Consider the following 18113-nt stretch of genomic DNA (forward strand, 5'->3'; position numbering starts at 1 on the left):
GTAAAGTTGAAAAACTGTAAGTAGAATGATTTTAAGTTGGATACCATCTATAGATACTTTCTAGTATGCCATTTTCATTTCTTTTATTTTTCATTGTTATTTTATTTTATATATTTTTTTGAGATAGGGTCTTGCTCTGTCACCCTGTTTGGATTGCAGTGGCACTGTCACGGTCACTGCAACATCAACCTCCCGGGTTCAAGTGATCCTCCCCGCTCAGCCTCGCAAGCAGCAGGGACTACAGCCATATGCCATCATGCCTAAGTTTTTTATTGTTTATAGTGACTGGGTATGTTGCCCAGGCTGGTGTCAAACTCCTGGGCTCAAGCTATCCTCCTGCTTTAGTCTCCCAAAGTGCTGGGAACTACAGGTGTTTGGCTCACTGGCCTGGCCTTTATGATTTTTAAAACTATTTTTCTTGGGTTATTTTCTTAGTGGTAGTTGTAGGGCTTACTATCTTTATCTTAACTTGCTAGACTGTACTTAATTTTAGTAAGATGTATAAGCATATCTTTTTTTTCTTAAGCATATCTCATTTTATTGGGCTTCTTTTTATTGTACTTCACAGGAAATTGCATGTTTTTTTTCTTTTTTACCGAATTGAAGTTTTGCGGCAACCCTGGAGTAAGCAAGTCTATCGGTTTCATTTTTCCAACAGCATGTGCTCACTTAGTGACTCTTTGTCCCTTTTTGTTAATTCTCATATTATTTCACACATTTTCATTATTATATCTGTTATGGTTATGTATGATCCGTGACCTTTGACGTTACTGTGAGGTGAAGTTAATAAATGTTGTATGTGTTCTGACTGCTGTACCAGCTGGCTGTTCCCTCATCTCTCTCTACTCTCCTTAGGCCTCCTTGTTCCCTAAGACACAACAATATTGAATGTAGGCCAATTAGTAACCCTTTGACAAGGTACATAGTCACCTAAGAGCTCTGTTGAAGATGTACAAGAAAATGTTCTTTTCATACCTGCTAACAACATCCATCCTGCAGTCTGTGGATCCAGGAGTCAATTTGACATAGAAGTCTGATTTAAGAAACACCTTTCGAAAGGCTATGGCTGCTATACAGAGGATGATTCCTCTGATGGATCTGGGCAAAGTACATTGAAAACTTTCTGGAGAGAATTCACCATTCTGGGTACCATTAAGAACATTTGTGTTTTGTGGGAGGAGGTCAAAATATCAACATGAACCGGAGTTTGAAAGAAGTTGATTCTGTCCTGCATGGATGACTGAGAGATTCAAGACTTTGATGGAGGTTGCAGATGTGGTGGCCAATAGCAAGAGAGCTAAAATTAGAAGTGGAGCCTGAAGATGTGACTGAATTGCTGCAATCTCATGGTCAAACTTGAATGTATATCTTCTCATAGATGAACAAAGAAAGTGCTTTCTTGAGATAGAATCTATTTCCTCTGAAGATGGTGTAAACATTGTTGAAATGACAACAAAGGATGTAGAATATGCCCTATGCTTAGTTGATAAAGTGGCAGCAAGGTTTGAGAGAATAGGCCCCAATTTTGAAGAAAGTTTTACTGTAGGTAAAATGCTGTCAAACAGCAGCACATACTACAGAGCAATGTTTTATGAAAGGAAGAGTCAATTGATATAGCCAACTTTATTGTTATAAATGGCTGGGTGTGGTAGTTCACACCTTTAATCCCAGCCCTTTTGGAGACAGTAGGATTGCTTGAAGCCAGGAGTTTGAGACCACCCAGGGCAATATAGCAAGACCTTGTCTCTACTTGAAAGGTAGTGAAAGTGCCACAACCACCACCTCAGTGAGTCAGAAGCCATCAACACTGAGGCAGGACTTTTTACCAGCAAAAAGATAAAGACTTGCAGAGAACAGTTTTCTCCTGTAAAGCTCCATTGCCCTCTTCCACATTTTGCTATTATTATAATAAACATTATAAATGTTAAAAACTCAACAATATGTTGTTAAACTTATTGTTTTATGTACTCTATGCTTTTTTTTTTTTTTTTTTTGAGATGGAGTTTTGCTCTTGTTGCCCAGGCTGGAGTGGAATGGCACGATCTCGTCTCACCACAACCTCCACCTCCTGGGTTCAAGCAATTCTCACACTTCAGCCTCCTGAGTAGCTGGGATTACAGGCATGCGTCACCACGCTCAGCTAATTTTGTATTTTTAGTAGATACACGGTTTCTCCATGTTAGTCAGGCTGGTCTCGGAACTCCTGACCCCAGGTGATCCGCCCACCTTGTCCTCCCAAAATGCTGGGATTACAGGCGTGAGCCACCCCTGGCTAGGTGTTAATTCTTCATTATAGCTTTGTCCTAATCCTGTTTCATTGTATTATTGTCACATTTGTATATGTTACAGTCTTGGCAATACAATTTGTAGACATTGTTTAATTCAGCTATTTAAATTAAATAGATAAGAGAAGAATGAAGAAGAAATACCTAATCACACTGTCTTACTTCCTACATGGTCCTTATCAGAGCTGTTTGTTTTTCATGTAGATTGCAATTGCTGTTTGGTGTCACTTGATTTTAGCTAAAATAATTTCCTTTAGTATTTCTTTTTTGTCACATCTGGAGCAAGAAAATCTCTAAATTTTTATTTTAAAATGTTTATATTTTGCCTTTATTTTTGACAGACAGTTTTGCTAGTTATAGGATTCTTGATTTACAGGTGTTTTTTTTTTTCTTCTTTTTTTTTGGTATTTTGAATATGTTATTCCATTGCCTTCCGGCCTCCATAGTTCCTGATTGGATCTCAGGTGTTAATTTTATTGTATTTATCTTACATGTGGCAGGTCATTTTTCTTGTTCTGTTTTAAGTGTTTTCTCTTTATTTTTGGCTTTTTTTTTTTTGAGACAGGGTCTTGCTCAGTTGCCCATGCTGGAGTGCAGTGGCACGATAAAGGCTCAGTGCAGTTATTGATCTCCTGGGCTCAAGCCATCCTCTCACCTCAGCTTCCTGAGTAGCTGGGACTACAGGCTTGCACCATCACGCCTGGATAATTTTTTTCTTTTTTTTTTAAAGTAGAGGTGAGGTTTTGCTATGTTTTCCAGGCTGGTGTTGAACTCCTGGGCTCAAGCAGTCCTCCTGCTTCAGCCTCTCAAAGTGTTGGGATTACAGATGTGAGTTACCACTCCTAGCCACTTTCATTATTTTTAATGTGAATCTCTTTGTTTTCATCTTATTTTGAGTTTGTTGAGATTTTTGTATGTATAATTTTTTTAAAATCAAATTTTGGAAGTTTTCAGCACTAGATTTTCAAATGTAGTTTCTATCTCCCTTTCTCTTCTTCTGGTTATTGATACATATGTAAATTTAATGGTGTCCCACATTTTTTTCAGGCTGTTCTTTAGGTTGTATAATCTAAGGAAAAAACCGTCCGTTAGGTTATGTAATCTCTATTGATCTCTTCTTAAGTTTGCTAATTTTTTTCTTCTCCCAATTAAATCAGCTTTTGAGTCTTTTAAATAAAATTCAAACTCCAGATTTTCCATTTGTTTGAGGTCTTTGTCTCCTAAGTCCAACATCTGGGTACTCTCAAAGACAGTTTTTCTTACTGCTCCTTTTTCCTGTGTGTGTTCTTTATTTTTTAATTTTTTTGTTGAATACCTATTTTAGGTAATATAGCCCCTCTGGATAATGATTCTTTCTTCTCCCTGTGTGTCTTACTGTTGTTTGTTTGGTCATTTATTTGTTTAATCACTTTGCCAGACTGATTTTCTGAAGTCTATTTTTCCAATAGTATACAACCTCAGATGGCCCTGCTCTAACAAATGTAGGACCCACCTTCCCTCCACCAGTTCCCCATTTTTTTTAGCTTGACCTCCTAGGATTGCCACACCTTGGGGCCACATAAACCACTTATTGTCCTTAACCTCTTAGCCAGTTACATTTTCACTCTTTCCTTTTGGAGGTGTTTGTTGTTTAGACACTATTTTCCAAGGATATCAGAGGTTATTTTCCAATCATTTCTTAGAGGGTGTACAATTGAGCTTATGCACAGTCTTTTGACCGTTAGGTATGAATGTGATTTTACTTTGAAGTTTGACTTTTGAGGAATTGCCCCGGGTCAGAGTAACTAACTTTTCAGCCAGTTTTTGATCAGAGGTTGTACTGTAGCCCCCTGAGCTTTATTGATTGATGCATTTGTATTTGGCTTAGGGAATGCTTTTAGGTTCGTCACAAATCCTGATACAATTTCTCCCCATTGGGTGCAGCCTAGTTCATGTGCACAACATTCTAGAACCCCAGGGATAAGTGTGATCCCAGGAGGGCCCTTCTTGCTGTCTTTCTCTAGTTCACTCTGTTAATCTTCTGGCTGTTCAGTTGTTGTACTTGTTTCTCCTTGTAACTATCGTTCTTGTCCTAATTGCTAACAAGTGTCCATTGTTTTGTTTTTTCCCTCTGACTTTACTTAAATTGTAGTGAGTACACTGGAAAATAGAATTCAGGTACTCTTTATTAGTTTTCTTTTTTTTCTTACTTGTTTTTGTTTGACAAATCATAATTGTGTATGTTTGCAGAGTACAGTGTGATGTTTTCTCTCTCACACACACACACACGCACATACACAGATTGTGAATTCTCCATTATTTTTGACAAAAACCTTAAGCATGAACTCTAAGCCTGTTAAAAAACAAAGTCTGTCCTCAGGCAGAGCTGCTGAATTCTTTGGTTCTTACAGTCCCCTTAAGTGTACACCCTCTGCCCTACTGCTCTGGAACTGGGGATGGGACGAGTAGCCTTCTTCTGAAGAGACACTCTTGCTCTATAAGAGGGTATTGAGAGAAGGGAAGGGTATGATAGCTTCTTGTTTTTCCAGTTTGTTTCTCATAATTAATATGGAACTTTCCACTCTACTAAAAGCTGGGGCAGGGATGATAGGACCCTAGCATTCTTGGCTTTTTGTGAGGATGGGGATCTGTGAATGGGAGCTACCAGGTCTGAGTTGAATCAGAGACACTGGCAGCCTGGCCGTCATAGGGTAAAACTATAGTCCTAGACTAGAAGCTGAGTTGGAGGGAGCCCTCATCTTCTTGGCCACACCATCCAGAGTGGACCATCTGTCATAGGGAGCTGTTGGGGTGGGGATGCTGGGAGCAAGTTGTGACTTAAATGCTATAGACTCTTAGTGTCATTATTGAGATTTAGTAGATTTACTTGGGTAAATTTTTTTCTGTATGTCGGTAGGACAATTCCAGAGACTACTTGACTGTTTTTCACCTGTGAAATGGTTACTTCTCTGGGGAGGAGATCTCCCATTCTGGATGTTTCACCCCCCTTCTTTTTTTTTTTTTATAAATAAAAATTATCATATTTTTAAGTTTTATGGGATGGTTAAGTAATGATTTCTATTCACTGTCAGCTCTTTGGAAGTTACTGAGGTATTTGAGGCCTCTTTTGCATATTTTCCCCAAATTTTGCCATATAGAGTGTTACTGTTTCAATGTGCTCTATTTTTAAATTTTTTTGATCATTTGTAGGCAAAAATGCATGCTAAATTCTTCCATTGTAACTAGTACTTAGGAATACTTTTATTCAGTGTGTCTAGATAGGTTTTGTTGTTATTTGGGATTTTACTTTTTAGAGGTATAAAATGATGTTTGTAATTCAGTTGAGTCTGAATCCTAGTTTTTCTTTCTTTTTTCTCTTTTTTTTTTTTTTTTTTTTCCTTTTTTTGAGATGGAGTTTCTCTCTTGTTGCCCAGCCTGGAGTGCAATGGCATGATCTTGGCTCACTGTAACTTCCACCTCCCTGGTTCAAGCGACTCTCCTGCCTCAGCCTCCTGAGTAGCTGGGATTACAGGCATCTGCCACCATGCCCGGCTATTTTTTTTTTTTTTTTTTGTAATTTTAGTACAGACAGGGTTTCACCATGTTGGCCAGGCTGGTCTCGAACTCCTGACCTCAGGTGATCCACCCATCTCGGCCTCCCAAAGTGCTGGGATTACAGGTGTGAGCCACCACGCCCAGAGAATCCTAGGTTTTCAATAGAGGAGTTGAAATCATGTACCTAGTTAGATAATTAGTTTTTTTTTTTTTCTGTGTCCTTGTAAATATTGTTGCATGGTGTTATTTGGCACCACAGTGCAAAGTGAATGAAACCATTTGGTTGTGTTGAAGTTGGGCTAGGTTATGCTTTATTACTATTTAGAAATTAGTTTCTTTTTCAACATGTATCACCTGATTATATGTAGTTAGACATAACTTTTTGTATCCTCAACTTGGAGTCTGCTGATTTTATTCATTATACACCGATACTTACAGATTGTTGTTTTTGCAGTTCAGTCTTCTGTCACATGACCAGCCATGATTTTGAGCTGTGAAAAGTTAATATTGCGTATTAGTTACTTGCACATGGAAAATGGAAGATGTCAGTCAAAGTTTCTCGGGGTGTTCATTGGCTTTGTATCTCTTGGGCATTTCTGACCTACTTAGCTAAAGTATCTTCTTCTGTAGCCCACATATGTCAGCTTGGTGGGGCTGAATGACAGCCTACCCGTATAGGATTCCTCACAGACAGTGGAAATGAATGACCTAAACGTTGCTAATTCGTGTAGGGCTGTTATTTGTCTCTTAGGTCCCAATACCCTGTTTCAAACCCTCTTAGATATGATTATTTCCTGCAGAGGGGAAAGATAAACATTGTTTTTACACCCTTGTTACAGGAATCAGTCTTGATGACAAGGTGTTGGGAAGAAGAGGTGTGGTAGATTGTGTCCTGGCCCGCCAGCCTCAGTGCCTGGGAAGAGTCTTCCTGTCTTGCAAAGTTTGTGAGACTGATGAAGATAATGCCTTTGTGAATTTTTTTAATAGGACTATTTGTATGTCTTTGTTTATATTTTTCTGTTTGTATTGTATGCAAAAATTAGATTATTGTCCAAAATGAATTCATATTTTGAGTTAAGATAGGTTACTTAGTATACCTGATCTTCATTTCTGAAGATAATTGTAAAATTCTGATTCATGTTAAGAACATGTATGATTTTTGTCTTTTTTTTTTTTAACCCCAAGACTTGCTACATTTGTGATGAACAAGGAAGAGAAAGCAAAGCAGCCACTGGTGCTTGCATGACATGTAATAAACATGGATGTCGACAGGCTTTCCATGTAACATGGTAAGGATGTTTCCATTGTTGCACAGAACTGAACTTGGTAAATACCTTGTGTAACAATCATAAGTTAAAGACTTAGATACTCAAACATTAATTATGGTAAACTTTATTGGTATAGTTTCTATGTTCACATTTACTTATTTGTAATAAAGATAATTTTAATAACTGAATGTATTTACCAGAGTGATTTTGCAATAAGTGGACTCTGGTTCTGATGTTTTATTCTCTGTAAGCTTCAGTTTCGTCTTGTTTAAAATTTTGGTATTGATTACCTATCCTTCGATTTGTTATTATGATTAAATGAGCTAATCTAGGTAAGCTTAGTGCAGTGTCTGAATACAAGGATTCGGTGAATGATAGTACTTCCTTACCTTCTGTGTCTCAAGTGAGAAGTAGTGTAACCACTGTCATTCTCAATATTACAATGGCGACTTCACAAAAACTTATTTAAGATACTCTTTCATGCCGGGTGCAGTGGCCCACACCTGTAATCCCAGCACTTTGGGAGGCCGAGGTGGGTGGATCACCTGAGGTCAGGAGGTCCAGACCAGCCTGGCCAACATGGCAAAACCGTGTCTCTACTAAAAACACAAAAATTAGCCAGGTGTGGTGGCACATGCCTGCAATCCTAGCTACTTGGAAAGCTGAGGCAAGAGAATCGCTTAAACCTGGGAGGTGGAGTTTGCAGTGAACCGAGATTGCGCCATTGAACTCCAGCCTGGCGACAAACCAAGACTCTGTCTCAAAAAAAAAAAAAAAAAAAAAAAAAAGATATTCTTTCAGCAACAAAATTTCAAGGGCAAAAATTATTTACAACAATATATTTTACATAATAGGTAACAGTTCCAAATAAAAAGTTTGGGAATAATCTGTGCACTAATTTTAAGAATCAGTCTATGCTTCACTGCCAGTGTAAGTACATGCTCATTTCCTGAGTTTTTAGTGTGTAGTTATATGAAATCTGTTTTATACTACTATTGTGAAATGGAAAACGGTTTTTGACTTTTATAAATTCTCGTAATGACTGTACCAAATTTCTCAAAGATGAAAGTAGTTTTTGGGGTATGAGATCTGTATACTAATATAATTTTGGAATGTTAAAAGTGTGAAAGGTCAAATTGAAAAGATGGTGATTAGAAACTTCAGCGTTTTGTGTTTTTAAAAATGAATATGCTAGGCACTGTGGCTTACGCCTGTAATCCCCAGCACTTTGAGAGACAGAGGTGGGCAGATTGCCTGAGCTCAGGAGTTCAGAGCCACCCTGGGCAAGGTGGTAAAACCCCATCTCTACTACAAATATGAAGAAATTAGCCGGGCATGGTGAAGCATGCCTGTAATCCCAGCTACTCGGGAGGCTGAGATGGGAGCATTGCTTGAGCCCCAGAAGGCCGAGGTTGCAGTGAGCTGAGATCATGCCACTGTACTCTGGCCTGGGTGACAGAATGAGGCTCCATCTAAAAAAAAAAACAAAAAACAAACAAAACGAATATTAGCTGGGTGCAGTGGCTATGCCTGTAATCCCAGCACTTTAGGAGGCCAAGGTGGGAGGATCGCTTGAGTTAAAGAGCAGTCTGGGCAACATAGCAAGACACCTCATCTCTACTAAAAATAAAAACAAAATTAGCCAGGTGTGATGGTGTACTCCTGTAGTCCCAGCTATTTGGGAGGCTGAGGTGGGAGGATTGCCTGAGCCCAGGAGGTTAAGGCTGCAGTGAGCTTTCATTGCACCACTGCACTCCAGCCTGGGTGACAGAACGAAACCCTGTTTTTTTTTTTCAAAAAAAAAAAAAAAAAAAGAATATTGTAACATTAGGTTTCATTTTCATTTCTTCCATTGCTTTTTACTGAAAAGCACAATTTATGTTTATCTCGCTTATTGTGCTGTGACTTAAAGCACTTAGAGTTGCAAATTTAGTCTTGAGTGAATGCATGTTTTCCTTGTAAGGTTATGTAATCTGCATCCATGGGCTAAATACCATCACTTCGGCCCTTTAGAGGCATGGCCTTTCCATTTGTACCTGTGACAGATTGAAAAAGTAAAATGAAGTGTTAACTGATGGGGTGGGATTGAGGGGGAAGAGAATGTATCTTAAACTTAATATCTATTTGGAGACATAAAACATGTGTACATCTTCATCCTAATATGAGATGTGTGAAGAGTTTGTTTTAAGCCATAAACATAACTTTAAAAAAAGATCAGTTGCAGGTTGGGGTGAAATACACTTGGTCACAGCTAGAATAAAGCTTTTTATTTTCTCATTTTTTTCTTAGGAGATGTTATTTTCTCAGAGCATGAATGATTGGAAGTAAATTTTATTTGCTTATATATACAGGTACTGTGATTTTAGTATATCAATAAATATACTTGGCTTTTATTTTCAGCGCTCAGTTTGCCGGACTGCTTTGTGAAGAAGAAGGTAATGGTGCCGATAATGTCCAATACTGTGGCTACTGTAAATACCATTTTAGTAAGCTGGTAAGAATTTCTCTTGGATTTAATGAAATGATTATGATTAGTTTTGACAATAGAATGACACTGTTTTATTAAAAAAAGCATATAACAGTTCCTTTTTCCTTGAGTTTTTGGCTGGAGATTGTGTTTAGCATGTTCTTTATTGGAAGTAAATAGATCTGTTAATAGTAATTTTAAAAGATTTTGCTTGCTTCGGTGTATTTGTAAAGGTGAATATTCTAAAGTACTCTCATTTAGAATATATATTAATATTAGGCCGGGTGTTGTGGCTCACACCTGTAATCCCAGCACTTTGGGAGGCCGAGGCGGGTGGATCACCTGAGGTTGGGAATTGGAGACCAGCCTGACCAGCATGGGGAAACCTCGTCTCTATTAAAAATACAAAATTAGCGGGGTGTGCTGGTGCATGCCTGTAATCCCAGCTGCTTGGGACGCTGAGGCAGGAGAATTGCTTGAACCCAGGAGGTGGAGGTTGCAGTGAGCCGAGATCCTGCCATTACACTCCAGCCTGGGAAACAAGAGTGAGACTCCGTCTCAAAAAAAAAAAAAAAAAGAAAAAAAAAAAGAAAATATATAAATATTGATAGTGAATGTTGGTATACATTTAGTGAAAAAATTAATCTGTAGGAAACTTTATATTTTTAAGGTCTTTAGTTAATTGGATTTTTGGTGCCAATTTTACATTTTGTGATTATCACTTTGTTTCTCATTTTCTGCTTAATTACTATTACCCATTTATTTATTTTCATTTTTATTTACTGGGAAATAGTAAAACTGAAGTAAGGCTGTTTTGTAACTTGCTTAAAAACCTTCAGAAAAATATATTTAAATACAACTTTGGGAATTCTTTAGATTTGGTCACTATTTGCTGTCACACAGGATCATGGTGATTGAGTTAGTAACATTTGATTGGGTGTTACATATTTGTATCCATGTTCCTTTGAAGGGTCAGTATGCCTGAAGTCCCGAGTATCTACTTCTCATTCTTTTTAATGGTAGATATTAATACACTGAAGGTTTAAGGCTTCTTTATTTTTCTTTTGGTTTCTAATTTTTAAATTATTATATTTCCCTTGTGAATGGGGCTATTTCTTTTGAAAATAAATACTACAAGGGGCCCCTGTTTTATGAAATGAGCAGTTTAGGCCTCTAATATTTTGGTTCTTGTATACGAATTACTTAAGAGTGTGTATCTGTGTATCCTTTGATGCTGAATGCTTTATTTTAATGACTTAACAAAAATTTTGAGATTATAAAATTGAAAATTTTTCTTCCTAGGTGTAATAAGCATATTGAAATACTCATTTTCTAAATGAGAGATGATATAAATAAAAAAATGGATTTTGAAGTTTGTGCAAATAGAATTTTCTTATTGCTAATTATAGACATGATGTTATCCCATTTGATAGTTGGGAAAAATATCTGTTTAATAATTTAATAAGATTGTATAATCTTTACATTTGCATGGAATTTGAACTTCTTTATAGTCATTTTTATCTAGTTTACACCAATTCGATGTGGTACCAACTTTTAAACACCTCAAATAACTCTCACCTTCATACTTAATTATGCAATGGTACAAGTGTTTTAAACAGAAATGTGTGATGCTTTTTAGTAATGCTTTGAAAAGTGCATGAGTCTAATACTGACATTTCCTTTAATTTTTTAATTTTTTTCTTTATTTGCTCTATCAAATAAAATGTGCAGGAATTATTTATTGAACTGCAGAGATAAATTTTTAGAAAACTGTATACCTTAATACTGATGGTATAAGATTAAAAGTCTTTTTGCTTTTCCTAGTGGCATAAAGTAACACTTCAAATATTTACCTTTCTATTCTTCTAGTCTTGGCACCCTTTTTTAATACGGCATTTTCTCTTTGTATTGAAACTTTTTATTTTTAAGCTGATGTTGAAAATATATAGTAGCTTATTTGAAAATAGATGATCTGTTTTCACACATTTTAATTAATTTACAAAAATATGGCATTAATGTTTAGATTTTCTTTTATAATGCAATGGATGATATATGAATGGTGTCTAAACTGGATTATATAGATTGAAATAGACTTAAAAATTTCAGTAGACATTAAAAATACTTTATAGTTGAATTGGTTTAAGCCTAACAAAAAGATTTGTTTAAAAAGTTTTATATACATATACATATATGTATATATATTTTCTTTTTTAGAAAAAGAGCAAACGGGGATCTAATAGGTCATATGATCAAAGTTTAAGTGATTCTTCCTCTCACTCTCAGGATAAACATCATGAGAAAGAGAAAAAAGTAAGTGGATTTGTTGTTGCTAAATTTGTAGCACATCTACTTAATAGAATTTTTTTTTGCCTTTTTAGATAAAATTACATTCTTGATAGTTAAATGGAGACATTGAAATATAGAAACATTTTGGCTAATAAAGAGTATTTAATGAAATGATAGGTTTAATGCCATATTTGTGAATATGGTTTTACCCATTGCAACTGAACATTTAGATTACAACTTTACTGAAAGCATGAGGGAAATTTCTTGCATGTGTTACTGTGGTCATCTTGCGAAATCTTTAGGTGACTTCAGCAATAATAGTTCGTTGCTATATATTATTAACTGATTTCTTCGCCTGTAAGTAATTATCAGCTTTTTTCCTTTATAATAGAACAATTTTGAAGTTCTATATATTCTTGGCTATTTTTTCTTTTTCAGTGGTGCTACTGGTTTATTAATTTTTTCTAGTGGCTACATGTCATGTCTTTTGTTTGAGAATATTTTGTCTTTTAATTAAAACACTAAAAGCTTGCCTAAATACTAATCTGTCTTTTTCTGACTTGCCTGTTTTTCCCGCTTACATTTTTACTTGCTTTATAGGAAATACTTTTTAATAAACTAAAAAATAATACTGGAAAATCATTTGTACTTAATTTGTTCTTTAATATGTTCTTTAAGAACATATTGCCATTAGCTGAGCATGGTGGTGGGCGCCTGTAGTCCCAACTACCCAGGAGGCTGAGGCGAGAGGATCGTTTGAGTGGAGGCTGTAGTGTGCTGGGATTGTGCCAGTGCACACCAGCTTGGGAGACAGAGTGAGACCCCTGTCTCTTAAAAATGAATCTATTATGAATTGTGTTTAAGGAAGTGAAGATAAAAAGGACATTGTCAAATGGAAAAGAATATTTTTCTTACAAAGTTGGTATATGCTAGTTTTGGAAATGTTTCTGCAGACTGTATTTAAAATTTAGATCTCTTATCATTTTCACATTTGTAAATATGATTTGGTAAATGCCAACAAATAATTGTTTAAAAACATTTTGGGCTGGGCGTGGTGGCTCAAGCTTGTAAGCCCAGCACTTTGGGAGGCTGAGGGAGGTGGAGGAGTTTGAGACCAGCCTGGCCAACATGGTGAAACTGTGTCTCTACTAAAAATACGAAAAAAAAAAATTATTCGGGCCTGGTGGTGGTTGTTTGTAATCCCAGCTACTCAGGAGGTTAAGGCAGGAGAATCACGCTTGAACCCAGGAGGCAGAGATTGCAGTGAGCCGAGATCATGCCACTGCACTCCAGCCTGGGCGACGGAGCGATACTCTTGTCTCAAAAGAAAAAAAAAATTTTTGGTTTGAGTTAGTGCTTTTTCAAGGTAAACATTGTAGAAACTTAAGTAGTTTTGAGAGTAAATTCTCTATCATGAGTGAAATAATTATAACTTAGGGCTGTTGTTTGGCATTTATTTATTTATTTAGAGACAGAGTCCCACTCTGTTGCCCAGGCTGGAGTGCAGTGGTGTGATCTCAGTCTACCGCAACCTCTGCCTGCTGGGTTCAAACGATTCTCGTGTCTCAGCCTCCCTAGTAACTCTGTCGCCCAGGCTAGAGTGCAGTGGCGTGATCTCGTGTTATTGCAACCTCTGCTTCCCGGGTTCAAGTGATTGTCGTGCCTCAGCCTACCTAGTAGCTAGGATTACAGGCACATGCCACCATGCCTGTCTAATTTATTTGTATTTTTAGTAGAGACAGGGTTTCACTATGTTGTCCAGGCTGGTCTCCAACTCCTGGTCTCATGCGATTCGGCCTCCCAAAGTGCTGTGATTACAGGCGTGAGCCACCGTGCCTGGTGACATACACACACACACACACACACACACACACACACACACACACTTTTTTTAGATCTCAGGCAGCAAGTAAACATGTATATCTTGATTTCTTTTTGAGGTGGTTTTGTTATAAAGTGACGGTAGTAGGAGCCTGTCTTGTTTATTGTTGATTAGATTGCTGATAAAAAATAGCAGAGTTAGTTTAATTAGCAGTTTTAGTAATAAGCACCATGAAAGTTTATTTAAGCTTTTTAAGTCATCAACTAAGGATTCTTAGGCAGGGCTCATTATAAATTGTGAAGAGGGAAGCCTCACTATTAATGGTCTTCTGTTCTGCCATTTCATGCATATTATCTTGTATAAAAAGCGCTTACTATATGATCGTATTTATTTTAAGATATGCCCTATCATGTTATTTGAAGGACAGTTATTAAATATGTTATGGTGTTGAATGAATATAGTGCTGATGACTACACGTATAGATCTTTTATTGCTCTGGGAATGAATGAAATTTTGTATTTTAAGAATTTTTTGTGGTGGTTGAGTGGATGCTAGATTAAAAAACACGTTTAGTCAAACTTGTTTAGCTTTAATATTTAGAAGTATGTAAATACTATTTGGATTTTACTTTTCGCATATATAAGTTTAATATAACTTGAGTTTTTGCTGTCAAGCTTGAATCTGTTTTTACATTTTGTTTTTAATAACTGAGATTTACTGGTCATCTACAAAGTAAGCACACTAAATGAAGGAAACATACTGTAAGTTTATTATTAGACATGCTTGCTTGGCTTGGGAATATTTGGGAAAGGACTTTAAAAATATGGGATGATTATAAGTGATACTATAGTTAAAAGATTGAGTGTTATAGACTATCTTTTTCTCCTTCCCTCCTTACCTCTTTTAAGTTTTTTTTTCTTTTTCTTTTCTTTTTTTTTTTTTTGTCGCTTAGGCTGGAGTGTCGCCCAGGCTGGAGTGCAGTGGCGCAGTCTCAGCTCACTGCAACCTCTGCCTCCCGGGTTCAAGCGATTCTCCTGCCTCAGCCTCTTGAGTAGCTGGGATTACAGGTGCACACCACCACGCCCAGCTAATTTTTGTATTTTTAGTAGAGACGGGGTTTCACCATGTTGGTCAGGCTGGTCTCGAACTCCTGACCTCGTGATCCACCTGCCTCGGCCTCCCAAAGTGCTGGGATTACAGGCGTGAGCCATCATGCCTGGCCCCTCTTTTAAAATTTTTATGTTCAGTAGAGTTGTCTTGAAAATATGCCTAGCATGTTTTTAGTGTTGCATTGAAAGGTAACGCTCATAATCAAGTCAGACATTAGTATTTTTAAAACAGACAGTTCCCAATTTGAAATGGTTTGAATTACGATTTTTAGACTGTACACTGGTATGAAAACTATGCATTTATTGTGCTTCTAGATTTACCATGGAGTTATGTCAGGATAAACTTTTCGTAAGTTGAAAATATTGTAAGTTGAAAGCACATTTTTAACAGGATATTTTCAGCTTATGATGGGGTTATTGTAAGGTGAGGAGCATCTGTATTGTATATTATGAGCTAAATTTTGGTGATACTGTTCATAAGATATACATTGAACCACTTTCTTTCTGAATTCTTTTATCTGCCTTCATTCTGGCACATATTTTTCTTTTTTTTTAAATTTACAATTTTAAAATTGTTTGTTCGTTTGTTTACTGAGGCGGAGTCTTGCTGTTGTCGCCCAGGCTGGAGTGCAGTGGCTCGATCTTGGCTCCCTGCAACCTCCGTCTCCCAGGTTCAAGCGATTCTTCTGCCTCACCCTCCCGAATAGCTGGGATTACAGGCACCTGCCACCACGCCTGGCTAATTTTCTGTATTTTTAGTAGGGACTAGCTTTGGCCAGGCTGGTCTCGAACTCCTGACCTCAGGTGATCCACCCGCCTTGGCCTCCTAAAGTGCTGGGATTTCAGGCGTGAGCCACCATACCCTGCCAAGAATTTTTTTTTTTTCCTGAGACGGAGTCTTGCTCTGTTGCCTAGGCTGGAGTGCAGTGGCGCAATCTCGGTTTACTGCAAGCTCCGCCTCCGGGTTCACGCCATTCTCCTGTCTCAGCCTTCCGAGTAGTTGGGACTGCAGGCGCCCGCCACCACGCCCGGCTAATTTTTTGTATTTTTTTTTTTTTTTTAGTAGAGATGGGGTTTCACTGTGTTAGCCAGGATGGTCTCGATCTCCTGACCTCGTGATCCGCCCCCCGCTCCCCTTTTTTTTTTTTGAGACGGAGTCTCGCTCTGTTGCCTAGGCTGGAGTGCAGTGGCGCGATCTGGGCTTACTGCAAGCTCCGCCTTCCAGGTTCACGCCATTTTCCTGCCTCAGCCTCCCGAGTAGCTAGGATTATAGGCGCCCGCCAACACGCCCGGCTAATTTTTTTGTATTTTTAGTAGAGACGGGGTTTCACCGTGTTAGCCAGGATGGTCTGGATCTCCTGACCTCATGATCCGCCCCTCTCGGCCTCCCAAAGTGCTGGGATTACAGGCGTGAGCTACCGCGCCCAGCCAAGAATTTAATTTTTTAAAAGTAGGTGAGCGAGGTGTGCCTGTTGTGTTGAACCGACCTCCGCCCCCCCCACCCCGCCCCCGCCCCCAATCCCACTGGCGCCACGAGGGAGATGGCAGGGGCAGGGAGGTCTACTGGGATTCCACACCCCTGCCTCCCATGCACTGCCCATGGGCGTAAAGGAGAGACGAGGGGCCCGTGGGGTGAAAGAGAAGACCAGTTTCATTTCCCATGAATGTGGGTCCCTCTTCTGTCGTGACTCAGGCCTGGTCCACCGCATTGATCCTGGCATCTGTTTCTCTTTGTGTATTTAAAAATACTATTTATCGAAGTATAAATAAGTGATATTGTTATTTTATATTTAATATTAAATACTGTGGTATCCAAATTATTTAAAAATGAAATAACTTAATTTACAACTTCATATGGTTTTAGGAAAAATTTAAAAATATATAGCCTTTGCTTTTCAGAGAAGCTCTGTGTGATTCAAGCTGTATTAGCACTGGTTAGGTACTAACTGTAGTGCGAGCAAGGAGAGAAGAAAAGTTAATGGTGAAATATGGCTTCGAATAAGGGATAGTTTGTTTTTTCTTGTTTCTTTTGTTTTTCCTTTTTTTTTTTTTTTTTTTTTTGAGATGAAGTATCGCTCTGTTACGCAGGCTGGGGTGCAGTGGCACCACCATAGCTCACTGCAGCCTTGATCTCCGTGGCTCAAGGGATCCTCCTCCCTCAGCCTCCTGAGTAGCTGGGACTACCAGCGTATGCCACTATGCCGGCCAATTTTTTTTTTTTTTTTTTTAAATTTGTAGAGACGAGGTCTCCCTATGTTGCCTAGGCTGGTCTCTAACACCTGCGTAGAAGCAATTCTGCCTTGGCCTCCCAAAGTGCTGGGATTACAGGCGTTAGCCACCACCCAGGCTGATTAAAGGATGTTTCTGCAAAAATTGAAAATTTGGTATATATTTTAAAAGGAACCAGAGCATATATTTAAAATCAATTAAAGCTGTGCCTATCAGGATTAAATTCAGTCACTAAGAGTTCAAATTGTGAATTATTATTTTTGTAGAATGCCTTCTAATATTTGTTATGCCTGTTAATGTTAGTTAATGTTGATTAGTAAAAGGAAAGCATGCTGCTGTTCTATAAGTTCACTTTTGGCAACAAACGTGTGGGTTATTTTCTACGCCAATTAATCACCCAATTCTCTGTGGACACCAAGTGGGTATCCTACAATTCAGTTCTGATATTACCCAGAGTTAGTGCAGATCCCATAGATACTGGGTCCCACGAGACTGCCCCCACTTCAGAGGCCAGTTGCAAGTCCCAGATTGTCACCTGTACTTTTCACCAACTGGTTATAAATTGGGGGTTCCACACAACCTTCTCCTTAGATTAGGTAATTTGCTAGAATAGCTCACAGAACTCCAGAACACTATTTTTTATTACTTATGTATTGTGAAGGATACAGCTCAGGAACAGCTGGATGGAAGAGACACATAGGACAAGTTATGGGGAGGTAGGTAGAGCTTCCATGCCCTCTCCAGGTGCTCCACCCACACAGCATCGGTTGTGTTCACTGATCAGGAAGCTCTTAGAACTTCATTGTTAAGATTTTTTCTGGAGGTTTCCCATTATGTAGGCACAATTTATTAAATCGTTGGTCATTGGTGATTGAATTCAACCTCCAGCCCTTCACCCCTCAACAGAGGTACCGGGGTAGGACTTAAGGTTCCAAATCTCTGATCACATGGTTGGTTCCTCTGGTGATCAGCGTCTATCCTCCAAGATTTACCTTATTAGTGTAAACTCAAGTATGGTTGAAAGGGGCTTATTATGAGCACTAGGGGAATTCAAAGAGTTTTACAAGCTCTGTGCCAGGAATCTGAGAATAAGACCAAATATTATAACAAAAA

The 18113-nt window shown here is 38.1% G+C and overlaps 1 protein-coding gene across 4 annotated transcripts in view; it reads left to right on the forward strand.

Annotated features, from left to right (window-relative positions):
• The window catches only part of MLLT10 (MLLT10 histone lysine methyltransferase DOT1L cofactor), a 209875-nt gene that overhangs the window by 71588 nt on the left and 120174 nt on the right, over positions 1–18113 (forward strand). For all 4 annotated transcript variants that reach the window (NR_136736.2, NM_001324297.2, NM_004641.4 and 1 more), the window contains 3 exons: positions 7005–7108; positions 9488–9581; positions 11769–11864. Coding sequence is in view for 2 of the 4 variants with exons in the window: in NM_004641.4 (NP_004632.1) it covers positions 7005–7108; positions 9488–9581; positions 11769–11864 (294 nt within the window). In the remaining 2 variants the exon portion in view is untranslated. The remainder of the gene's footprint in view (positions 1–7004; positions 7109–9487; positions 9582–11768; positions 11865–18113) is intronic.

The sequence above is a fragment of the Homo sapiens genome, chromosome 10, assembly GCF_000001405.40.
Source record: "Homo sapiens chromosome 10, GRCh38.p14 Primary Assembly".
NCBI classification, from domain to species: domain Eukaryota; kingdom Metazoa; phylum Chordata; class Mammalia; order Primates; family Hominidae; genus Homo; species Homo sapiens.